General features: G+C 47.1%; 1 protein-coding gene across 1 annotated transcript in view, besides 4 other annotated features; it reads right to left on the reverse strand.

Moving 5' to 3' along the window:
- Nucleotides 1-4,544: 4,544 nt before the first annotated feature.
- Nucleotides 4,545-25,270, reverse strand: part of PARP1 (poly(ADP-ribose) polymerase 1) — a 47,403-nt gene continuing 26,677 nt past the window's right edge. Inside the window, exons 9-23 of the mRNA NM_001618.4 lie at nucleotides 24,922-25,062; nucleotides 23,776-24,018; nucleotides 23,427-23,495; nucleotides 22,996-23,128; nucleotides 20,962-21,157; nucleotides 18,080-18,208; nucleotides 14,288-14,371; nucleotides 12,053-12,175; nucleotides 11,334-11,462; nucleotides 9,808-9,906; nucleotides 8,856-9,008; nucleotides 7,797-7,924; nucleotides 6,953-7,014; nucleotides 5,823-5,937; nucleotides 4,545-5,395 (exon numbers count right to left, since the gene is read on the reverse strand). Coding sequence (NP_001609.2) covers nucleotides 5,314-5,395; nucleotides 5,823-5,937; nucleotides 6,953-7,014; nucleotides 7,797-7,924; nucleotides 8,856-9,008; nucleotides 9,808-9,906; nucleotides 11,334-11,462; nucleotides 12,053-12,175; nucleotides 14,288-14,371; nucleotides 18,080-18,208; nucleotides 20,962-21,157; nucleotides 22,996-23,128; nucleotides 23,427-23,495; nucleotides 23,776-24,018; nucleotides 24,922-25,062 — 1,886 coding nt within the window. The 3' untranslated portion in view covers nucleotides 4,545-5,313. The remainder of the gene's footprint in view (nucleotides 5,396-5,822; nucleotides 5,938-6,952; nucleotides 7,015-7,796; nucleotides 7,925-8,855; nucleotides 9,009-9,807; nucleotides 9,907-11,333; nucleotides 11,463-12,052; nucleotides 12,176-14,287; nucleotides 14,372-18,079; nucleotides 18,209-20,961; nucleotides 21,158-22,995; nucleotides 23,129-23,426; nucleotides 23,496-23,775; nucleotides 24,019-24,921; nucleotides 25,063-25,270) is intronic.
- Nucleotides 14,264-14,423: an enhancer, noted in NCBI's record as "active region_2648". NCBI's record gives its function as "activates an Ori minimal core promoter by ATAC-STARR-seq in GM12878 lymphoblastoid cells {active_cell/tissue: GM12878}" and the evidence as "EXISTENCE:reporter gene assay evidence [ECO:0000049][PMID:35858748]".
- Nucleotides 15,174-15,233: an enhancer, noted in NCBI's record as "active region_2649". NCBI's record gives its function as "activates an Ori minimal core promoter by ATAC-STARR-seq in GM12878 lymphoblastoid cells {active_cell/tissue: GM12878}" and the evidence as "EXISTENCE:reporter gene assay evidence [ECO:0000049][PMID:35858748]".
- Nucleotides 15,254-15,323: an enhancer, noted in NCBI's record as "active region_2650". NCBI's record gives its function as "activates an Ori minimal core promoter by ATAC-STARR-seq in GM12878 lymphoblastoid cells {active_cell/tissue: GM12878}" and the evidence as "EXISTENCE:reporter gene assay evidence [ECO:0000049][PMID:35858748]".
- Nucleotides 22,963-24,162: an enhancer, noted in NCBI's record as "BRD4-independent group 4 enhancer chr1:226566810-226568009 (GRCh37/hg19 assembly coordinates)". NCBI's record gives its function as "activates an origin of replication core promoter dependent on BRD2, P300/CBP, MED14 and CDK7 cofactors, and independent of BRD4, by STARR-seq in HCT116 cells {active_cell/tissue: HCT116}" and the evidence as "EXISTENCE:reporter gene assay evidence [ECO:0000049][PMID:35650434]".

A 25,270-nucleotide genomic window follows, 5' to 3' on the forward strand; every position in this document is an offset into this window, starting at 1 on the left:
TGCCTGCTGGCTCCATAGCTTGGGTTCTTGTTGGTTCACAGAAACAAAATCCTTTAAAATTATATTTCTGGAATCTTATAAAGTGCTAGGCAGACACAGAGATCACAACAGCTCCAAACTTTGTTATTGGCTCTAAACCAAAGTTGCACACTGGCTTATTCAAATCTAAAAAGCCCAGCCTGGTCCCTGGGTGAGTACCACATGGCTAAAATTAGCCTGGCCATCTGCTGAGACAGCAGCTGGGCTATTCTGAGCCCCAGCAGGCCTGCCTGAAGTGGAGCTGGGCCTGGGAGTAAGTGCTGGAGAGGCTGGACACTTCACAGTTAAGGGGACTACAGGGAGGGACATGGAGGATGAGGCCACACTGAGAGGGAAGGCCAGTGTCATGGTGATGGTTTCACAGGATAGAAAAAACACAGGATGGTTTCTGTGTCCTGTTCTCTAGTTTCTCCTCTTACCTGGAGCTTCCTTTTTGGATTCAGACTCGAGCAAAACCACTCTTTGGGATTTTAACAATAATGACTAAGATTTATGAAGCACTTATTATAGGTCAGGAACCACACGAAGTACTTTAGGAGAATCAGCACACACACTCTCAAGACAATTCTAAAAGGTAGGTACAAGATCTGGGGGATTCAGAATGGCCTGATTGTTCCTTTTACAGAGCCCATGAGAGAGGTTTGGTTGAAAGCACCAGACAGGCATGAGCCCTGGCTCAGACAACCCCAAGAATATAGGGATTCCCTTCTGTGGGCCCTGACCCCTGCCTGCCTTCATCTCTGGAAAGGACCAAGAGTATCCTCAGAATCCAGAATCCACTGAACTAAAGGGCAGGACTTTTAGGGGTACAAATGTGATGTACACATTTATAGGTACCCTATAATAAAGAACTCGATTTGAGTGTATGCATAGCCATTGTAACTCACCATCAGAAACCCTACACTCAGGCTAGACTTGTTCTGTGGCTTAAAACTGCAGCGTCTCAGCCGGGTGGAGTGGCTCATACCTATAATCCCAGCACTTTGAGAGGCCGAGGCAGGTGGATCACTTGAGGCCAGGAGTTTGAGGCCAGCCTGGCCAACATGGTGAAACCCCATCTCTACTAAAAACACAAAAATTAGCAGGGCGTGGTGGTGTGTGCCTGTAATCCCAGCTACTAGGGAGGCTGTGGCGGGAGAATCCCCTGAACCCGGGAGGCAGAAGTTGTAGGGAGGTGGAGGTTGCAGTGAGCTGAGATGGCGCCACTGCACTCCAATTTGGCCTGGGCAACAGAGTGAGACTCTGTTTCAAAAAACCCCAAAACACAACAACAAAACCCCCTAAAACCTGCAATGTCTCTGCCCCTCTAACTGGCTGCTTTGGTCTTTTTTTCTGTAATTGGTCATGAAGCCATAGTGGACATCTGTGACATTCCTTCTAGCACCCATTCCTTACTTCCTTTGCCCTCAGCCAGAACCTGTTGACTAGAGTGACCCAAGCCTTCGTTCCTGAAGGGTCTGAATTTTCCACAGTGCTGTCATTTTTTGGAGTTGCAGTGTTTTTGGTTGCTGTACTTCCCCTTGCCTTTACCACTGGACATGGTGGCACTAAAGCCCTCCCGAGAATCTCCTGGGCTCTAGACATAGTCCTGCTTGCCTCCCTGTGCAGCATCCCACTTTCCCCTTGGTAATCAGGATCAGTCCCTTCTGCCAGCAAGGTCACCCCCTCCTCTGCACATTGCTGCAGTGGTACAAGGAGCCCCAAACAGCCATATGGTAGCCTCATCTTCTAAGTCGATGAAACCATAATTGTGTTGTCCGCTAGAAGCATCTCTCCCTTAGGGACTAAGACCTCCAAACACAAGCCCTGTGAGGGGATATCAGATGTGGTGACAGCAAGAGGAACTACTCCCACCTCACCCACTGGTTCCCAGACCCATGTGCTTTGGCCGGGGGGGAGACACCAGGTTGGTCTCTGATTTCAAGCCTCTACTGCATCCGTAAGATGAAACCCCATCCCTTCAGGACGCTGTCTCACAACTGGCACCATCATGAGCCATTCTACTCTTCATTTAGGTCATTTCTGGGTGATGGGGCATGTGGCAAAACCAGTTAATTCTAAGTACAAGCCTGATGCTGAACTCTGTGCTGTAGAATGAGGTCGCTGATCAGAAGCAAAGCTATACAGAATGCCACAGTGGTGGGTGGCATTGAGTGCTCTGAGTCCACATGGCCCATAGGACGCACACCAGCTGTCCCTATTACCAGCACTGTTCCCTAGTCCAGTGGGCAACATTTTTCACATAAGGGCTAATTCGCTGAGGAGGAAGGTGTTTACAGGCCACATTTTCTTTACTTTTGAAGTCTCCAAAATATATCTTATAACCTAGATGACCTGCTCTAGAGAACAGTAAAGAGAAATGAGAAAACCAACATTGACCTCTTAAGCCATACAAATGGGCATATTTGGCACATGCCAAAGGGAAGCTGCCATCTAACCTTCCATGCTGAGGCTGAATGGCAGAAGTGAGGGGGCAGTGGGATGCTAAGCACTGTATCAGACCTCCCTAAACCTCAATGGCCTCAACTTAGACTCAATTTGGCAGGCCCTGCCTGATGAAATGGTGGAAACACTATGCCTCAAAAAAGCAACCACCAATCTCTGAGGAGTCAAAACAGAATTTAAGGGAAAGGCAATGACACCACTTTGAGAAATGCGAACTCCTAAAGCACCTGGGTGTACTTTATAGAGCGGAATAAAACCAGCCCAACAGGTCAGAGGTGAATGATTCCCAATGTTCAGATCTTAACAGTTAAGATACAAGGTTTCTGAAGGCCAAAAGACAATGCAGCTTCCAGGCTTTTGGTGTAAACAATTAACACTGAGTACATACTATGCCCGCACCAGGGACAAGGCCACCATTAGATTTCATTCCTAAAAGCAGTACTTGAGGTTTGCCCTAAGGCAAAGTTCTAGGCAAATCATTCTATAGCAGCTTCGCCTTAGAGCTCTGGGACGCTTGAAGGAATGGTTCTTCACCTCTTGTGTAGCAAGAGATAACCACTGATGCAGAATTCATTGGCTAGCACATTGGCTAAAACACTACTGTGTACGCAGCGCATCTTTTATAGATGTATGCATGCACCACTGTGTGCAACAGTGTGCTCTGACATGTGAGCCCAGTACTGCCTTGGGCAACTACTGTTGGCCAAGGGCACTTCCAGGCACAAAGGCGGGAGGAGGGCAGCTCACCAGGAGGGGCAGAGGGCTATACCTCTCTCTTCTCTCATGGAGCACCCCGAGTTTCTATGCAAGGTTGGCTTTAATTTTTTTTTTTTTTTTTGAGACGGAGTCTCGCTGTGTTGCCCAGGCTGGAGTGCAGTGGCGCGATCTCGGCTCACTGCAGGCTCCAACCCCAGGTTCACGGTTGGCTTTAATTTTTAAACGAAATTCTCACATTTTAGTTGCTACCCTGAGATAGGACTTGAATTTTTTTTTTGAGACCGGAGTCTTGCTCTGTTGCCACACATGATCTCAGCTCACTGCAACCTCTGACTCCCGGGTTCAAGCGACTCTCCTGCCTCAGCCTCCTGAGTAGCTGGGATTCCAGGTGAGCGCCACCATGTCTAGCTAATTTTTGTATTTTTAGTAGAGATGAAATTTTACCAGTTGGCGAAGATGGTCTCCATCTCCTGACCTCGTGAACCGCCCGCCTTGGCCTCCCAAAATGTTGGGATTACAGGTGTTAGCCACTGCATCCGGCCAGGACTTGAATTTTTTTAAAGTGAAGGGAGAAAAGCAGAATGTGTATACTAAAACATAAAGTGCTAATTTCTCTCTTTTGAAAGGAAAATAGATTGAGAAATGTGAATCTTCCTTAAAAAAAGAAACCAGTTTTGATTACAGGGAACTCACTAAGTAATCACTCCAACCTAAAAATACTTATTTCATCAGGTACTGTGAGGGTAATTGCCTTTCTCTGTGCTGATTAAAAAAAAAGGTAAAGAGTGCAGAATACTCAGGAGCCCAAGAGCCGAACAGCCTGGATTGCTGGATGATCAGGAGAGAGGGTCTCCAGGTCAAAGGTGCTGGTCTTGAACTCCTGGCCTCAAATGATCCTCCCACCTCGGCCTCCCAAAGCACTGGGATTACAGGTGTGAGCTACTACCTCACTTGTCCCCTTCCGTAAAAGGTCAGAGGTGACATAAGACACTGGCCCTGCTTTCAGGCAATTGAAACGTAAACATTTAAGTATGATTCTCAAATGCAGAGCAGTTGTACAAGGCAATGTGGTGTATGAAAGGCAGTCCTCCAGAGAGCAGGATGAGTTCATCACCACAATGCATCTGATAAGCCGAAAAAAAAAAAAAGTGTCTCCTATGCCTGGTGCTTGGCCCACCCTTAGGTGGGGCATTCCCATTAAGCAATGCTATTTGCTGCCTGGCACGTTCTGGGGTTTCACAGATTAAGGGTAGAAACAATCCCCCCAAAGTCTCTTGGGACCTTGCACTGTGAAGATTAACCATATCTGTAGTCAGAATGAGACCAGACACGCAATACACAAATAGAGAAGGCATCTGCATTTTTAATCGAGTATTACTATTAGCCCTTGGGTAAGTATATTTGTGGTAGAGTTTTAATTTGGAAGACAAAAGTGCCCATAAGAAAGTCAAGAATTTCAAATGCAACTTTTAATACTACATATTTCAAGAGCTCCCATGTTCAGTATTCCTGGAGAAGGAAAGCTCTTTTTGTTTCTAAGTATGAGAAATTGTTAGCGTTCCTTCCTTTGGTCTTCCCACACCCCTCACCACAAGAGGCAAACAAAAAAAACTAAAAAGGGGACAATAAGTGCAAGATAAAAAAGAAAATCTAAATAGTATGAAATTAGTTTTTATTTTTAACTAAAAATAAATGCTTAACATCTTTCCAAAATCAAAACTAAAGACGAACACTTAGAAAAAAGGGTGGAAGTGTATTTTTCCTTCCCTGGGGAAACCAGTAAGGCAGACATTCTAACGAAGCTTGGTTTTTTCCATAGGACTAGTCTATGCAACAGAATCTCTCTCCAGCCTTTTCTCTATGTCAGTTTTATCTACCTGGCAAGAAAAAACAAAAACAACCCCAAAACAACCCCTCCCCACAGACACAACACAAAACAAGGGACTTGAGAAGTTAGAGAAAACCTTTAACACGTTTCTGTAAAATCCTTTCTGAGGTGGTTTAGTACAGGTACTACCCATCAGCAACTTAGCGGCCAGGTGAGTTGGTGCAGAAGCGCTTCGGGTGAATTCATACCAGAGCCACCGGGTGTGACTCGGCTACCTCTCCCAATTACCACAGGGAGGTCTTAAAATTGAATTTCAGTTTCAGCAGATACTTCAGATTTACCTGAGCAATATCATAGACAATGTACCTGAGGGGAAGCTTGTTAAGGAGCCAACAGCCATACAACAGAGGGTATGTACATGTGCCTCATCTCCCCCAGGCTGGCAGGACGCTCAGTGCCAGCCTGAAAGTCACTCTAAGGCCTCTTCATGGGGCTGGGTTGCCTCATCTCCCCGGGGCTGGCAGGATGCTCAATGCCAGCCTGAAAGTTACTCTAAGTCTTCTTCAGGCAGACTGAGGAGAGGAGATCATCCTCTGGAAACTGGGGGAAGGCTCATACCCTGTAAGCCAGGCTATGCACAGGGAGGGACCACAGAAGGGAAACAGTCACCATGGGACACACTACAGGACAGCCTCTAATCCTTGTCTGCCCCAGGTAATCTGACAGCACATAAGTGACTCTGTAGCTCGAGAACATCCCTTTGTGCTCACACAGCATACTCAAGAAAGGATACTCGTTATATAGTAGAGAGGTGTCATTCACACCAGATGAAATCCCGGTCCCAAGAGGAACGTCTACACCATCCAGACTAATGTTAGCTGAAGGATCAGGGGTAGTTTTGCCCAAACCTGAAAAACAGAAGTCACAAGTGACATGAACTGTGAGTACAGATGTGGCAAAGCTTCCAGGGAGATGAGCTCTATTTGATGTTGGGTCCATGTGGTCTTTCTTTTTTTTTTTTTTCCTTTTTGAGATGGAGTCTCACTGTCGCCCAGGCCGGAGTGCAATGGTGTGACTTCAGCTCAGTGCAACCTCCGCCTCCCGGATTCAAGCAATTCTCGTGCCTCAGCCTCCTGAGTAGCTGGGATTACAGGTGCGCGCCACCACACCCAGCTAATTTTCTGTATTTTAGTAGAGACAGGGTTTCACCATGTTGGCCAGGATGGTCTCGAACTCCTGACCTCAGGTGATCCACCACACCCAGCCTCATGTGCTCATTTTAAAGACATGCTCTATCTTTCTTCAGATATAAAACTAAGGCAATAAACCAAAGTTCCCAGGGCATCAACCTTCACTGAGTTTAATGAGAACAGTGGCAGTACCCTCCCTACAGGATCACATTTCGGCTCAATAGAATTTCAAAGCGGCCACTTCAACCAGGCAGTGGAAGGTTCTAAATCATATGCTGCAAATTCTAGCAATCCAAGATGCTCCAGGCACTACTATGTCACGAGAGGTCCCTCACTGCTGTAGCTACAAGTTAGGTTAAAGCCGAAACCCGTGCATCTGGTTACTGGTGCCTGCACCAAGATTCTCCTGTGGCATCTGTGATACCAGCTGCAGCCACAGAGAGTGAACTGTTTTTAAAAATGAACCTCCTGCTATAGAGCTTGCCTATTTTTTTTTTTTTTTTACAAAAATAAATAAAATGAACCTCCAATCATGGTCAGTTGCAGCATATTAACCACCACCACCACCCCCCAAACAACAACAACAACGCACACACACCCCTCGAAAAGATAAAATGAATCTCCAGCTGTTTGACAGCCAGCCACAAGGCAGCCTTCTCAGGACAGCAAGCCCCCGGCTTCTGTGCTGTCCAGGGTGCCTCGGGCTGTAGCAACAGCTTTGGAAACACTTTACCTTTGACACTGTGCTTGCCCTTGGGTAACTTGCTGATATGTGAAGCGTGCTTCAGTTCATACCTATTCAAAAGAGGACAGTCTCAGAAGAGGCCTTCACACTGGGCTCTCGAAACCAACAGTTTGATTAGGAGAATAAGATCAGATACAGAGATGAGATAAAAGTCCACAAAACCCAGACCATCTAAACTGCTCAGGCTCCCTCCTGAGTTTCTGGAACTGTTCCAGAACCTGAAACTGCAGTTGCGGCTGAACATAGTTTGTGCCCAGCGATCACTGCTATGGGGCCATTTTCAAGGCAAGGCCCTATTTGGAGTGGTGGTCAGCAGCTCTAGGTTTCCGTCCACATTCCACAGTCCCCAGACCCCTGGCCTTTTACATGACCTTGTGCTTTTGGTTACAGTTCACAGGACTAGGGTCGATGTCCAAATCAAGCTGGACTAATCAGATCTTTCTCTATGGAGAATCTGGAAGTGGAATTAAAATTCCAGTTCCATTTGGGTTGGTCTAAGAAAACTGAAACACTGGTGAGTGGAGGAGGCGGCCTGGGGGATCATCCTTTGTGCAACTCAATCTCTCTGCTTCCCAGTCCATGGAGAGAAGACACTGCCAGCTCTGGAGGCCTGGCTGCGTTCCTGCCCTTGCATTTCCTGAAGTATCCTTGTATCTCCCTTGTTCCCTTAACTTGAATTGGATTCTGCTACTTATAAGAAAAGAATCCTAATTGGTGCGTCCAGTAACTGCAGTGGGGAATTTCTACTCTCCCAGCCAAGGGGAGTTCTGCCTATAGCCCATTCCACCTGTCCCCATGAAATGCCATCAGTCCCAGAGCCAGGTTTACTCACATGTTTCCAAGGGCAACTTCTCCCAACAGGATTAAGCCTATTGGGTCTCCCTGAGACGTATGGCAGTAGTTGGCACTCTTGGAGACCATGTCAGCGAAATAGATCCCTTTACCAAACATGTAGCCTGTCTGGAAGGTCGGAAAAGGGAGAGCTGAGAATCTTCTGATGGGAAATTAGGAGCAGCTGTTCACTGAGTGCCAACTTGAGCAAGCCACCCAGCTAAGTGCTGCAATCCATCACTTCTAATTCTCACAATGCCCATGGTGAGGAAATACCAAAGTTTTAGCTCACAAGCCAGGCTGTCAGATCCTAGCTCTGCCAGGTGCCAAGGAGCTGCAAGAAGCTACGTAACCTCTCTGGACTCTACTTGCCTCTTTTCTCAAATGGGGAACACAGTCTCATGGAGCTGCCATGAGGACGGAATGAGCTCATCAGTGTTACTTAAACTAGCGCCTGTCAACACCCAAGGAATGCAGGCTGGTATTTTTATTCCCTTTTGTAAATGAAACACGAGGTTCACAAAGGGTAGGCCATTTGCCCGTTATACACTACTGCACAGCCCCAGAGAGAATCATTTAAACTTCTCTCCTCCTCATTCTACAACTGTGAAACAAGAGGCTTAGAAGGTCCTGTCCAGGTGGACCCATCTAGAATCCAGCAGGTGGCATCACGATCCCTCGTGTCTAGGTAAAGCCTTACTCATTCATCGCTACGTTTTCCTGCTGAAGACACTGACACTCAGAGGTGGCCCGGCTGGGAAGTGGTAGAGATAAGCCTGGACTCAGCTTGGCCTGTAGCCACGTGTCTGTTCTTTGCTTGTCAACACACCCGATTAGCATCTGCAGCAGGCCCTGGCCTGGATGCTCTGCCTCCTTTGTTCCAGAAACTGTGTTTGAAACCCCTGACAGGGTTAGGGTCAGGAGGATAAAAGGGTGAAGGCCCAAAGAAAGGATGTCTGGCAGAATCCCCCTAAACCAACTAGACCTCTTGCTCAAAGTTCTTTATGGAGACACCTGCAGAGACAGGCATTGCCCACCCCTCGCCAGGCCAGGCACATACCACGGGCGCTTCAGGCGGGGCTATCCGAAGACCCTGGGACAGGATCCCAGCAAAGTTGGTGGTCCTGGACCCGTGCCACAGCAATCTTCGGTTATGAAGCTGCTTAAAGGGCTTGTAACGCTGGCATTCGCCTTCACGCTCTATCTTAAAGATCTGGTTGGAGTAGTAAACAAAGGGAAGGACAAAAGAAGCCATTTGTTACTCTGGTTGACTGAAAGACAGGACTGGATACACGAGAAATGACCGGCTGTCCCTAAGGCTAGAAGACTTAAGGTCTGCTGCAATGTAAAAAGTGTTTTCCACAAGGCTGGGATGGAAGGTCCAGGTCCTGCCCAGCAGCGCCCAGCCATTGCTGGTTAGTATTACTGTGCAGCAGATGTGCACTTGAGGAACTTTATCTTGGACATCTGATAATCTATGTTCTGAGACCAGGTTTGGGGACAGGAAATGTCCTTTAAAACAGAATAAAAAGCCATCCCCAAACTACTGTATAAGACTGCTAATTTTATAATCCCAGCACTTTGGGAGGCCAACGCAGGCGGATCATCTGAGGTCAGGAGTTCAAGACCAGCCTGGCCAACATAGTGAATCCCTATCTCTACTAAAAATACAAAAATTAGCAGAGTGTGGTGGCTCACGCCTGTAATCCCAGCTACTCTGGAGGCTGAGACAGGAGAATCACTTGAACCCAGGAGGCAGAGGCTGCAGCAGGCCGGGATTGCACCACTGCACTCCAGCCTGGGTGATAGAGTGAGACTCCATGTCAAAAAAAAAAACAAAAAACAAACAAACAAAAAAAAAACTACTAATTTTTCTGCTGAACAAATGAGTCACTTCTTTGGGTTATTTAAAGTAAATAAACTGCTCTTTTCTACCCAGGCCCAGGTTGGAGGAGTGGGCAGGGAAGAGCTGGCAGGACACAGAAGGAAGTGGGGGAAGAAGGGATTCTTACATCGATGACTTCCAAGTCATACGCATTGTGTGTGGTTGCATGAGTGTTCTTAACATACTTCCTGATGATCTCGGCTTCTTCAGAATCTCTGTCAACCACCTGGATAAACAGAATCTTGGGATTAGCACAAAAGAGACCCAGGAGAGCTACAGAGGAGGAATGCTCAGGCTCAGTCAATGCATAGCTCAACACCACACTCCTCAAAGGAAGCCGGGCATGACCGAGAGCCTGTGTCCCAGGCCTGTGGGCTGGGCAGATCCTGGGCCAGTGGCTCCACTTACCTAAGCCTCCACCTCTTCATCTACTTGGGCTGCTAGAGAATCTCAGGGTTCCTTTTTGTCTTAAAATTCTATGTTTTGGGATATCAGGGAAGCTAGAATGTGGGATTCACTGTCAGTGAACAGGGCATCTCCAGAACAAGCAATTGGCTCCTGGAAGAGAGTCCAGCTCAGCATGAGTTAAAACACAATGGGCCAGAGGAAGTCACAGCTATGATGTGCAATGAAAATTATCCCTGGCTCAGAGCACAGGCCTAACAAGCATCTGTCAAATAGCTGATGTAATCTATGCTCAGTAAGCCTGAGTATTACGGAGGAGACTAGTTATGTTTTATTTTCATATTTATATTCAAACTTCAGAAAACCTAGAATGCTGGTCTACCTCCCTGTCTTTTAATTAAAAGGCTTCAGAATTGTAAAAAGAGAATAAGAATCCCTTCACGAAGAACCACACCTACAGTTTTCCCATCAGGAAGGTGCTCTAGGGGCAAAACAAATGACATGTGGTGTCTTACCCTGCTTGGACCCATAGGTCTATACTTTGTCCTAGGAAAGAAGCCAAGGCTCTTTCTTTAGCGATGTAAACACCTGGTACCAGACTCAACATACTCTCGCCCACCCAAACCCCTGCAACACTGCAGGGAATGGGCTGAGGACAATGGGGCACATGAGTGTGGAGATAGGCTCAAGGACCGGGCCATCTAGAAGCTGAGGCAAAAATCCCTCCTCTAGTTGGTCTAAGCGGGGTGTTCAGAGACTGTGTGTGCCAACACAGTCCACTTCAGCACCAGAGAAAAATGAACGCAAGCATTGTGTTTTTATTACAGGTGCCATCAAGCATTTCCACTTCTGAAATGGACACCGGTAATAAGTCTTCTAAAAGTTCACGCTACAAGGGTTTAGAAAAACAGAGCTCCTCTCTAGATTAAGGAGAGGAAACAAACAAACAAACAAACAAAAAAGAACTTTTGGTAAGACCCTCAAAAATAAATTTGTACGCCAAGCTGAGGTGCTGGCTTGGAAGGCTGCCTTGCAAACAAGGTGCATTATCTACACGTGAAACGCCCAAAGGTTCTCAAAGGACCACCAGCAGCAATGTCCGGGAACTTGTTAGAAAAGTGAATTATTGGGCGCCAGCCACCTGTGTTTTAACAAGCTTTCCAGGAGATCCTAACACACATGGAAGTTTGGGACCGCTGCTCTCAGGATGAGAGGTTAAGATGCTTGAGGAAGGCCTGACCCTGTTACCTTAATGTCAGTTTTGAGCTTCTCATAGTTGACATCGATGGGATCCTTGCTGCTATCATCAGACCCTCCCCTGAGCAGACTGTAGGCCACCTCGATGTCCAGCAGGTTGTCAAGCATTTCCACCTTGGCCTGGAGGAGCAAAAGAAAGCCCCCGACTTAGGTATCATGGTGAATGAGACAGACTCACCCAGGTGGCAGAGAAAACCTACATGCAGAGAAGGTCCAACACAGTGAATGGCAAACCCTCCTGCTGGTCAGGGCCAGCCTGTTACCTGCTGCACATATTGAGAGCTCATAAGGACTTTCTGGAATGTTAACAAGGCCTTGTGGCCTGGGGGAGTTGAGAGGTGGAAGAACTGTCTTTCCTCTCGTACATGCTGACATTTGGGACCTACAGTGAAGGTACTTTAGACAAATGGGTCCTGAGCCAGGAGCTGTCTTAAAAGGCAGGGAGGGAAAATGGGGAGGAAGATGCTGTTATGAGGGAGAGGCTGTCCCTCTCCAACAGCTCTTTCCCCAGTGGATTTGGTAGAACAGGGGCAGGAAAAACAGCTCTGCCTCCATCAATGTGGGTAGAAACCCAACTTCAAAACAAGGGCAAGAGGGTGGCCCTCCCAGCATTGGTGCTGCCCTCAGGGATCATGATGGGGAGGGACGGCTGCAAGGTAGTCACACCCCAGCCCAGCAGACCTGCAGTCCCTTCTGAACCCTTGCGCTACCTGCACACTGTCTGCATTGTTCAGGAGCGGAGGCTTCTTCATCCCAAAGTCGTGGGGGATCAGGGTGTAAAAGCGATTTGAGAGATCCAGGATCTGAGAGTCGCTGCTGCCCTGAGACACCGCCTGGAGAGGAGGGGACAGAAGGAATGCAAGACTGAGGGAGCAGCTCCAAGCCCCCGGCCAGGCTTTCTCTTTTAGCAGGTGGGTGCTGCAGCAGGTCCAGAAGTAGCGTGGTATGTGCACATGCCAGGACACATGGGAAACGACCAGAAGACCATCTTCCTGTTAAAGAGCAGGGCAGGACCCCCATCCTCTAAAAGCACTGCTCAACACGTGATGGGCTTCTCCCATGAAGTTTCATTTGTACAAAGAACTGTGCAGTTACAGACATTTGAAACCCCGCCACAACTATGCAAAATGTTAACTGTAAAATCTAGGTGGTGGGCTAATGACTATTGCTGTAAAATTCCTTCAACTTTTTGTATGTTTGAAACATTTTCATAATAAAATGTTGGGAGGAGGTTGCCCATCGCTATAAAATTCAGTCAGGCTCCCTGCCTCCACTGACCTTCATTGGAATTAGTTTTTACTGTACCTGGAGGTTGAGGTGGCCAGGCACAGAAAGGCTAAGCAATCCTTACACTCACTGCCAGTGTCACTTGGTGCTCTATATGCAAAGGGTGCACAAAAAATGCACAGAGATGGAAGAGCGGGGCCACTGGGATTCCAGGAATTTCGCAGACAGCCTAGGTGACCACAGGAAGGTCAAGGGAATATGAAGTGGCACCCAGCAGGTCCGAAGCCCCACGCCTGCTTCTCGCTGTGACATGGACTTCACCAAGTTGTACAACTTCCATCTGTGCTGCCCAGGTGGCTCTGGCAATGGGTAAGGATGCTATTCCAGCTCTTCTTCCTGAAGACTATTGCATGGGAAGAAGCTGGGGCCGAGGAAAGCCTTGTAAGTTCTCAGTCAGTAAGGAACAAGGAGAGAGGTTCACTGCTCAGAGCCAGCTGTAACTGAAGTTGACAGATCCGGTTCAGCGCCTTTTCTCCAGCACCAGCCAGAAAGCCCGCTGCCTGGGCCCACTTCTGCTTCCTGTGTGCTTTCCTTCTTTCTACAGGCCAGGCCTGCACCCACCCACAAATATAAGCGGAACCCTCCAGCCCCTCCAGGATGTAGCTGGAAGGCTCCGGGACTGGTAGACCTTGAAAGATGCTCAAAGAATGTTGAAATAACATGAATGAAAGAGGCTTCCATTTGATGACTTCCTAGTAACTGCAAAATAAACTCTGCCTAACTCTTAAGGACACATAAAATAAAAACCACAACACAGGTGACCCTTGAACAATCGATTTGAAGTATGCGGGTCCACTTATACACAGATGTTTTCAATAAATACAGTTAGCTCTCTACACCTGTGGGCTCTGCAGTTGAGAATTCAACCAAACTCAGATAAAAAATATAGTATTCTCAGGCCAGGTGTGGTGGCTCATGCCTGTAATCCCAGCACTTTGGGAGGCTGAGGCAGGCGGATCACTTGAACCCAGGAGTTTGAGACCAGTCTGGCCAACATAGTGAAACCCCACCTCTACTAAAAATACAAAAAAATTAGCCGGGTGTGGTGGCCCATGCTTGCAACCCCAGCTACTTGGGAGTCTGAGGCACGAGAACCGCTTGAACCTGGGGATGGAGGTTGCAGTGAGCTGAGATTGTGACACTGCACTCCAGCCTGGGGGACAGAGCAAGACTCTGTCTCAAAAAAGAAAAAGAAAGAAAAATCCCACCAAAAAAAAAAAAAAAAAATCTCAGGATGCGAGACCCACAGATGTGCAGGGCCAACTTTTCTCCTCCATGGGTTCTGCAGGGCACTCTAGGACTTGAGCATGAGTGAATTTTAGTAACCCCGAGGGAGTCCTGGAACCAATCCCCGAGGATACAGAGGGATGACTTCACTTTTAACAGAGAGGGTAACCAACGTCTTCAAGTTTATGGTCAGTTTACTAAGTATCTGACAACTGAAAAATGTTGCTCTTCATTAGTTTTGTGATAAACTTTTGTAAGTAGCAGGCACTTGTCATTTATTGAACTGAAAAAAATCGAAACCCTCGTGAAGTGCAGTTCAGTACTTCCAGTTTCTTAACCTTGAGTAAATGTTACCCCTGCCACCCCCAGGTCTCACCCCCTAAGTCGGCCAGAGGAGGGTTCCAGGAGGCCCCTGGTAGCCCTGTGCTTACCTGCTGGACCTCACTGAGGATGGAGTATGCGGCCTGGATCTGCCTTTTGCTCAGCTTCCCCAAGGGCATCTTCTGAAGGTCGATCTGAGGAGACAGGGGATTTCGCTCTGAAAGCTGGGCACTGTGCAGTGTGATCGCAGGAGAGCTGGACCGGGCAGCCCACCCTCAGGCCCCCAACAGGAGCAGTCAGGAGCCTGCTGGGATTTCCTGAGGACACCAGTGACCCAAATCCAGAGTCTGTAGCCCCACCCCACCATGAGGGATGGCAGTGTGTCTGAAGATTCTTGCTCACTTCCTTTACGGCTGGGCTTAGCCAACCATGTCTCCTCTGCCCCTATGCCCAGTTTCAAACAGTCCAGCACGTCTGGACGAAGATATAGCATAATTCCCATCCAATTCTGATGTGCAGATGAGGGCTCATAAATCATGCTGACCACCCCACCCAGCGGCCTTCCCTGGGGTCCCAGAGCCAAGGCAGTTAGTTAAGTGCACCCCTGGGTTCCCACCTGGAAAAGAACCAAGAGTTTTCAAGTGTTGAACACTATTTTTAAAAAGGACACACTCCTGAACTTATGGACTTACATTCAAATCAATGCTGTCCCTTTCAGATCAGTCACCTCCAACAAATATTGCTACTGCTCATATCTTGGGAACTGCCTGCCATCAAGAGAAGCTGCAGTGGAAGAAGCATGAGATCTGCAGCCTTCATTTTCCATTTGTTAAGTGGGGCCACCTTCCTTAAAAGGCACTCACTCCCTTTTGCGAGCAGCCCTGCCTATTTGGCTCAGCCCCTGCGTGGAGACACCTGTGTACCAATGGGCCCCACACTCTGTATCCTGAGACATCGTCTCTGGGGCTTTGCCAATAGACCCTTCTGAGCTCCCTGGGGGCCGTGACTGCGCCTTTCCATTTCTGCATGTCCAGCACTTCCTGCAGTGCTTGGAACAAAGAACTGAACAAGAATCTTAGAAATGGAACTGCTATGGTGATAAAATTAAATAAAAGGATGTGAAAAGTGCTCACAGCTCATCAGACACCTACCAGGAGCCAACAGCTTCTAATAACATCCACAAGCCCTGGCATGGGCTTCCCTGTACCCTCAACACTGCAAACTCCATCCTAAGGGAAGATCTGATTTCTGGCAAGAATTAAGTAGCCGGAGCCACATCTGGGGAAGAAGGTGGATAATCTATTTCAAGCCAAGAACAAGGTACAATAAAAGAACAGAGTGACTTTGGTATGGACCCTCAATCAGCTCTGAAAGCAATTCTCAAGAAGGAATCCCAAAAGAAGTTCTGACGGCAGAGCATGGCCAGAGTGAGGGCAGAGCTCTGAAGGGCGCGACATTTTCCACGCTGTATAATTCTGGTGTTTATGTAAAAAAAAGAAAATACCTAGTTTCCCTAATTGTACACCCCTCAAAACATACGCACAGACTAAAAATAAGAGGTGGGCTCCATCCACACAGGCCGCCCTCACTACTGGAAAAGAAACTCAGGCACAGCGCTGGACAGCGGGCTGGGAGCAGTGGCTCCACAGCTGCCCAGTTGAGAGAGAAACAGAAAAGTGGGAGAAACACCTTGGCACTGGGGACCCACGAGCCCCAGCTGCAGCCAGGAGGAGGCTTCTAGGGCTGCAGCCTGGAACCCTGCCCCCTGCCATGTGTCGTGACTGCCCGGAACCCATTCCCTTCTGGACTCAGGATGTGCCCTCCTCACAGGGAGAGTCAGGTTCCCCTGGTGCTGGGGATGAAGCCCCGAGGGCCACTGTGTCTACTTCTCCACATGGTTACCCCAATCCCACGTGGACCCCGCTGAGGTCAGGAGTGGGCACCCCGCTTTCCACACACTTCCAGCTAGCTGCCTTTTAGCTTGTTTCAGCAAGCAGCGCCCCTGTCCCTTTTCTTCCTGCTAAACTAGTTACCTGTCCAGTGAAAAACATTAAAATGTCATTTCAGGCTGGGGGCCATGGCTCATGCCTGTAATCCCAGCACTTTGGGAGGCTGAGGCAGGTGGATCATCTGAGGTTAGGAGTTCAAGACCAGCCTGGCCAAAATGGTGAAACCCCATCTCTACTAAAAATAAAAAAACAATTAGCCAGGCACAGTCGTGCACGCCTGTAGTCCCAGCTACTCGGGAGGCTGAGGCAGGAGAATCGCTTGAACCCAGGAGGCAGAGGTTACAATGAGCCGAGATCGTGCATTGCACTCCAGCCCAGGCGAAGAGAGTGAAACTCCGTCTCAAACCAAACCAAACCAAACCAAACACAAAACAACAACAAAAACAACATTTCACAGGAAAGGACTTGGGTTTGAGAATAGCTGAGAACGTCTATGAATCACAGATAGACCAAGGTGTGGGAGACTGGAAATGAAGTGCAGGACTTCAAAACGTGAATGAAACGAGCCCCTCTTCTCCCTTACCGTAGCACCTCTCAACCTTTCCCTCCACCTCCGTCCCTCATTCTCAGTGAGCCCACCCATAAGTTGTTCACACTAGTGACCTCATAAACAAAAGTCAGATCACACAGCGATTTCAACAAGCACAGCGAACAAGCCCTGGCCATTTTTTAAACCCGTTAGAGGATGTAACTCAACACTCCACTCTACAACAGCACAGGCGTGAGCATTCCTGCCAGGCTGAGCTCTTGGCAGGGAGATACGGGGTTGGCCCTGATGTCCATGCGGCTTAGGCTGCCAGTGGTTTATACTGCCCAGTTTTGACCCCCTGTCCTCCCAGCTCTAAGGCAGGCCAGGAGGTTCTAGGAGGAAGGACTTGGGAAGACAGCAGAACGTGAGCGTGAAGGGAGCAACCCCATGGAGAAGGGTGGAATGCTTAAGGCTGATCTGAGACTCTTAACCTCCACTGGTTCCTAGGAGCCTAGAACAAAGGGAATAACCAAATGCATCACAGCTGCTTGTTTTTCAGAGCAGCCTGAAGCTTCTGGGTTCAGCAGCTAGGGTAGAGAGGAGAGGGTGTTTGCTGGCCAGGTGGGACCACCTCTGCTCTGAAGGCCCCCAGGGTCAGTACTTAAGAGCTCTGATGCTAGGAGCAGCAAGAACAAGGGGGCCGCCCTTTTGCACTCATCTCCCGGGCGGAGAGCGGAGATGAGAAGGAGAACAGACAGGAAACACGGAGCCTCTGCCTGCAGTCTCTGCCATTCTGCCCTGGACAGAAGCATGACTAATCCAGCAACCACCACCCCCACCCCACTGCCAACCTTTTAAAAACTGGTATGAATTTTATCTTACGAATCAAGCGTCACAGCAATTTTCTTTTACTCTAAGTGGGCTATCTTGCACTTCCCATGGTAACTCCAGTTGGTTGGTTTGGTTGGGCCACAAAGGAAGCATGGCTAATACACCTTGCCACAGCATGAAGAAGGGGAAAAATACAAAGGGTGGGCCGGGCACGATGGCTCACACCTATATTCCTAGCATTTGGGGAGACTGAGGTGGGTGGATCACTTGAGCTCAGCAGTTGGAGACCAGCTTGGGCAACAACATGGTGAGACTCTGTCTCAGAAAAAAAGTACAAAGGGGACTAGGGACCAGGAACAACTCTCTCCAACACAACACATGCTTCACTGCAAATCAAACAACCCTCTGCAAAAGTGCAACCACTCCAGGCCCCAACACTCACACAATTTAAGATTGAAGGACAGGTACAAGAAGCTGACAGCCAATGTATTGTTTTTGAAACAGAAACAAGAACAGGCAGACAGCTCTTCACTAGCTCAGCAAATAATCATCCACAGCAAATGCTCACAGATAAAATGATAAAGCGCAATAACCTCATACTCCACCATGGCTTTCTTCATACTTTCCACATCAAAGATCATCTTGATGAGGTCCTGAACTGGCTTGGGGAGCTTGGACTTGGTGCCAGGATTTACTGTCAGCTTCTTCACTGCCTCTTCATCCTTCAGGAAAAAAGCACATTGCTAAGAGACCCAAATCAACAACTCAAGCAAGGTATCTGCGTCTGTGGGGCTGGACTGCAGACAAAGGACACAGGCTAGAGTGCCACCAGCAAAAAAAGCTGAGTGTTAATCAAAAAGGTGTGGAAAACAGTGGCCAGGATGAGTGTGCCTGATGCTGCACATGGGTCAGACTCTTCCTGTGCCTGCCCTGAAGTTCTCTTGGCTGCTCCAGATTCTTATTCTAGTTGCCACTGCAGCGTCTGCATGGGCTGACCCACCCTGGGGTTGCTGGTCCCTGCCTGGGAACCTGTCTAGTGCCCACTCATGCCCAACCTGGAAGTGCTGGGCAGCTGTAGAAGCAAACTTTGGAGCAATGGGACATGAAACTGATGGACAAATTCCTTCTCTTTTCTCTTACACTTCCTCACACAAGGGCCAGTTGCAAGACTAAGTTTATATAGCCTTCTCTAAATTCCCAAAGTACCAAGCAACCAGTCCCATGCGCTGCCAGCCAGGCTGACAGTGTTAAAGCACATCGTAGCATTAGCTGTCCGTCCTCTTCCTAAGCTGCCTAATAGACTATTGAGACTCCACCCCCCACTGTCTGAAGAACCCAGGTTATATCAAGATCACACTGTACTGAAACTGCTTTAACTCTTTAGACTTGAACTGTATGAGGGTATAGACGGTGCTCTGTCCAGCACAGTGTCCCTAGCAACTAAAACGGAATTTGGTATTTGGAGTGAAAGGAATTGGCACTGGGCTTTGAACCTGGAATCAGACTGGCTTACCCAAGAGCTAACTTGCGTTGTTAGTGTTCATGGCTGCTGCTGTCACCTTCATAGTAGACCTACTCTCAGTGTTGAAACACCATCTTAAATGTACTCTGTTATCTTCTGGGTGTAACTTCATTGGAGGGCAAAGTATCTATGTGTTCAAAACCCCTATTTAAGTGCATCTACCTTATGACCCAGTACCTACTTGTAATGACAACAATCACAGAGGCACACAAATATTTAAATGTATATCAGCATCATTACAGTAAATGCCCAGAATCAATCTAAATGACTAACAGGAGGCAGGAAGCTGTTCTGATTAATGATAAATTCCAGCCCACGCACAGGACGGGATTCAATGCAGCCTTAAATAATGCTCTGGACTGGTGCAGCCAGTGGCCAATACAGTAGCCACTGGCCAAACTGAGGTGTGCTGTAGGTGCAAAATATACACCAGATTTCAAAGACTTAGTAGAGAAAAAACTAAAAGGGAAATTTTCTCATTAATAATTTTATTGGTATTGATCAGGTGTTGAAATTAGAATATTTTGGATATACGGGGTTAAATAATGCCAAGATTAATTTCATTGGCTTCTTGCTTTTTAAAATGTGGCTATAAAAAACTTTAAATGTATTGAAATGGCTTGAATTATAATTCTATTGGACAGCACTGCTCTAGAAGACATAAGGAAATGCTCCTGGTACATTAGGGCAAAAAGCAGATGGTTGTAACATGGTACATATGGTGGTGGGAAACGTACATATGCAGTGAAAGCTGACTGAAAAAGATATCTACCATTACTTTAACTGTGGTTAATTCCGGGCAATCTTAGTTTTTTGTGCCTTAGTATTAATATTTCTCAAAAATTTTTAAAGTATTTAACTCAGTAAGGGGCGCTACCGAGTCAGGCCAAATCTGTCCTGAAAGTCTACTGTCTGAGCCTCATCATTGTATAAGCAAGATGTAAATCCTATTTTTAATATGGAGAGTTCATGAGGCCCTCTGTAAACTAAAGAATTCCCCCTACGAGACATGCTAGGCCTCAAAGATTTAGAATTAAAATCTCTACCCACCTACAGATCTTTTTGTAAAATAAATGTTTTCTTTTATCTGATTAAAAAAGTGATAAATTTTCATTTTTAAAAAGGCAAGCATTTTGCAAAGAAAAAAGACAAAACAGAAAAGTTAAAAATGTCAACCAATAGACAAATGAATGCTGTGTGCTAACAGATGTAAGGAGACGCCCAAAACTACAGAGACAGCACTAGGAAATAATTTGGGACTAATAAAGTGTGACCTAGCAGAGCAGGTCAAGTTACTATAATTCTGTCATGACAGACCAGTCACATGATCAAGGGTGACCATGGGTTCAGATAAAAAGCCTTATCTGGAATCTCTGAATTACGTCCTATTGTTTCAGGAGTAACTGAAAAGACTGTTCCTCCTCGATATCTCAAAGATGCTACCACAATTCTCATTTAAGCTCTATCTCATACTTCAAGGTGTTGACTGTATTAAATGCTTTTTCTGCCATCTACTGAGATGATCATGTGGTTTTTGTCCTCCATTCTATTCATATATTACATTGATTTTTAAATGTCGAACCAACCTTACATTCCTGGGATAAATCCCACTTGGGAGTGGTGTATAGATCCGTCTATGCTGCTGGATTCGGTTTGTTAGGATTTTGTATCTCTATTCATAGGGTTTCTGCATGTCTATTCACAGGAAACTGCTCTGTAGTTCTCCTGTGCTGCTTTGGCTCTGGTATCAGGGTGGTACTGGCCTTCATGCAATGAGCTGGGAAGTATTTTCTTCTATTTTTGGGGGAGAATTTGTGAAGGACTATTATTCTCCTTTCAACATTTGGTAGTATGTTTACTATGATGCCACCTGATCCACGATGTGGATTTTCTAGAATAAGGTGTCCCTTCCTTTTCCTAGAAGCAGACAGTGTAAGGGCATTATGTGGTTACCTGGCCATAGTCAATCTCCAGGGGGTAGAACTTTTTGGGATACTTCGTGAAATTTTTGGAGTGCCAAGCGTTCCCGGTTTTTTCTTCATATAATTTCATGAAGTGCTCAATGGCATCCTCCTTGGACGGCATCTGTTCCAGTTTGTTGCTACCGATCACCGTACCCACACGGCCCCAGGACCTGAATATCCAATACCTGCAGTGGGAAGGAGGGTGTCAGATACACATGTGTGGGTCAGCTGTCCCATTTCAGGAGCTCCCCTTTCCTGCCATTACATTCACGTGGGGAAGAATTTTACACACCCCAAAAGGATGGTGATTAACACAGAACAAACACAACTGCTATAACAATAAAGGGTCTTTATTTTACTTTTCATTAAACTTTCAAATCATATTGACTACAAAAAATGCCAAAGAATAGTTTAAACTTGGTTCTGGCAGCCAAGCCTGAGGACTGAATCCTGGAGTCTGGAGACCTTTGCATAAAAATGATTCTAGTCCTCTCCCCAAAGAAATACAAAGTACTATCTGGAAGTCATGTGTTCAAGGAGTCAACCCTTACAGCTGTACCCTAAAAATAATGAAACTTTCAACTCAGATCCAAGGCCAAGACATGATGAAATGAGGGGGGCAGTGGCAATGGCTCCTCAGGTCCGGTGACCTAGAGATGCAGGCTGTCATGTTCAAATTCCATCTCAATTGAGGGTACACATCACACACACCCAGCTGCTGTGCTGCTCAGCTTTGGATGAGCTAATTTTTGATTAACTCAAAGCAGAGGTAATGCAACACTTAATTGTCATTTCATAATAAATATATATATATCATAAACCCACATACAAGATTTGTGTACATTTTAAAGATAGAACTACAGATTTCAAAGAAAATTTGGGACTCCCTGGCCATTCTCTGGGCTACTGAACAGGGGTATAAAAATTCATTCTCTGCTTGGTTTTTCCTGTGAAAATTTTTGAGAAGCACTACCTTGATCTACGTTGAAAATTTTTTCTGACCCTAACAGCCTACACCACCCTTTCACTTAACACCAGGAAATCTAAGCCACCAGAAAAATGTCCACATCCACAATCAACGTTAGAATTTAGTAAGAGTTCCTTCCACATGCCTTTACACTGACACATAAATGCTATTTTGTGGTGGCTGTACTGAGGGGCAATGAACTCACTAGATAAGGACCACTCTGCCTAGAAACATAAGGACAAAAGCCAGCCCAACCTCTCACCACCTCCCAGCTGCTGTACCCCACCATCCACACTCCAACCTTGCCTGTCTCACCATGTTAAAAAAAAAAAAAGGCAAATCCAACCTCTTTAGTTACTAGGGAGTTTGAACATTAAAGAGTAAGTTCAACGCTTGCCAACCTTTATTTGCTTCAAAGTTTTAAAACATATGTAAAATCAGAAAATCTTGATTCAAGTAGCTGAAAGAAAAGCCAGCTGGGGCTGGGTGCAGAGGCTCATGCCTGTAATCCCAGCACTTTGAGAGGCTGAGGCGGGAGGATCACTTGAGTCCAGGAGTTTGAGACCAGTCTGGGCAACACAGCGAGGCCCGTCTCCATAAAAAATAAGGCATGGTGGTGCGCACCTATAGTCCCAGTTACTCAGGAGGCTGAGGTGGGAGGATTGCTTGAGCCTGGGAGGTCAAGGCTCCGCTGAGCTGTGATTACGCCACTGCACTCCAGCCTGGGTAACAGAGCGAGACTATTTCAAAAAACAAAACAAATAGTTGCAAAACAACAACAAAAAACAAAACACCAAACAAAAAGAAAAGCCAGCAGAAGAATATGTGAAACCATACCTTGGGACAACTGTACAAGGACAGCAACGCTACTGGTTAGTAAGTGGCTTCTTTCTCCCCTTTAAGCAAAGGCCTTATAATTTGTTTTTGATCTCTGTGATTAGATTTCATTCCCCAGGCACTGGGCCTAACGGGTTTCACAAGGCTGATGGCACAGCACTAACCAATGCAGGACGGGCCCATGTCTCTGCACAACCAGGCTACACCTGCAGAACTCACCTGTTTTCCTTGTCGTCCTCCAGAAGCTGCAGCTTGTAGTAGGAGTTGGTTCCTTTAACGATGTCCACCAGGCCAAGGGTGGCACTGAAGACCTTCCCACCTTTCTCCAGGACATGCGCAGAGTGTTCCAGTCCTGTCCCAGAGGAAAAGCACCTACAGTTTTCTCTCCCCTTGAGGTGCTAGCACTCTCACGGAGAAGGGATCTGCAGGCCTGAGGTTCACGCCTCTTGGATACACTACCACCACCCTCGGGAGGCTCCCCACAAATGTGTGTTCTCAGGACTGGGGGAGCTGGTGAAGGAGGCCTGAGTGAGGACAAAGGCACGACCACACTGCCCCAGGTATGCTGCGGGCATTTGGATGTGTGCTCCTAGTCAGCTGGGGGTTGGGGGGCGGCACAGCCCACTTTGCTGGCAGTCCTGTTTGCTTACCAGAATCAGGATCCACAGCTGCTCCTCCTTTAAGAGTTAATTTCATTCTCTTTTCAGATTTGTTGATACCTTGGAGGAGAACAGAAAAATGTAAACATGAAGTTAAATGTAACTAAAAAGTAAGGGGAAGGTAGAAGGCAAATGAGTTGTTCTCATTCCCATCATCTGTCAACTCGGCATCTATATACACACTACTCCCGCCACCCCAAAGCGCCTGCCATTCTGTGTCCTGCTCTGCAGCACTCAACAGGCCATGTCAGGGACACAAAGGGAGAGGTTCCGTGGACAACAACCTGGCCACCAATGTCCCTGGCTTTTGGCCCTGGAGGGGGCAGCTTGGGGCCCTCACCTTCCTCCTTGACCTGGCCCTTGCTTTTTTTGGAGAGCGCAGCCCCTGACTTCCCTCTTGGGGCCACAACTTCAACAGGCTCTGCCTTCACCTCTGCCCCCCAAGGGGACAAGATGTGCGCTAAGAACAACTCCTGAAGGCTCTTGGTGGAGGCGGAGACGTCCTGGAGGAAGTCCTCAGACACAACTCGGATGTTGGCTTCCTTTACTTCCTCCATCTTCTTATTCATCTTTTCCACCTCCTCTGTTCAAATTGAAAGGAAAAAAAACCAAAATACAAGTTTAAAACAAAACTGAAACTTCAAATTACTACAGTTATATTTAGTGTGTACTTCCAAACCCTCAGCATTCACAGCTCTCCTTTGCTTCCAAGTCTAATGCTCCCAAGAGTGTTTTTATCAGCAACATTCCCCCTTTTCTAAGGTATGATGAGCCAGGGCAGCCTTCTCCAAACCATTCTACAGCACGATGTTAACAAACACTCCAAAGAAAAAACACCCTGATGTCAAATATGTATGGGAAATCCTGTATTCTATTTCTCTGGTTCCTGAAGACCTACAGTGGTAATCAGCATAATAAACCCACACAGAAACCTGTTTAGCTTTGTTTTACCCTACCTTTTCCAAACATACTTGAACCTTGAACTTCTGTTTTGGCAGATATCTATGCACATCTTACAGAGCAGTGCGAAGTGATGAGAATACAGGTTGAGCAGCTTCCCTTATCCGAGATGCTTGAGACCAGAAACCTTTCAGACCTTAAAATACTTGCTTCATATTTACTGACTGAGCATCTAATCCAAAACTCTGAAATCTGAAATGCTCCAATGAACATTTCCTTTGAGCATCATGTTGTCACTCAAAAAGTGTTGAATTTTGAGGCAATTTGTTTGGGCTTCGGGACTAGGGAGACTCAACCTATAGTAGCTTACCGTCTTTAGTTGAGAACACGCAATGCATGTGAATCTACAGTACAAAGCAGCAACACTGAGAGCAAATACTGGTTTCCCTTCATAAAGAACCACAGCGATGATGATGTTAAGATCCAGTTTTTCAGCGCTGTGTTCGACTCTTCCTCACTTACTCGTCATCACAATCATAAGATACAGAAGCATTGTCCCTGTTGCACAAATTCAGATTCAACTCACTTTTGGTGCTGATGCACAGGGAAGCCTTGTTGGCCGTCCCCGTCAACTTCCCCCCGAGTTTCTCAATCATGGCCTTCACTTCATCCTTGTTCCGGGACAGCTTCCCGAGAGTCAGGATCTTCATGTTGGATAATGGCTTATCTGGGATGAAAGGAGAGAATCATTCAGCAAGGCCAGCTCTGGTGCTGCTCCCCAGTAAGGGGAGGTGGAGGAGCAGGTGAGCCAAGCAGCGAGCTCCTGGGAAAAGCCTATGAAAATACACTCGCGAGAAAACAGGACGGGACAGCAAGCTGCCACCTGAGTACCTACAGATGTCCCTCAGCACAGAAAGGACTGGGCAGGGAGCAAG

Source organism: Homo sapiens, chromosome 1, assembly GCF_000001405.40.
Source record: "Homo sapiens chromosome 1, GRCh38.p14 Primary Assembly".
In the NCBI taxonomy this organism is placed as follows: Eukaryota; Metazoa; Chordata; class Mammalia; order Primates; family Hominidae; genus Homo; species Homo sapiens.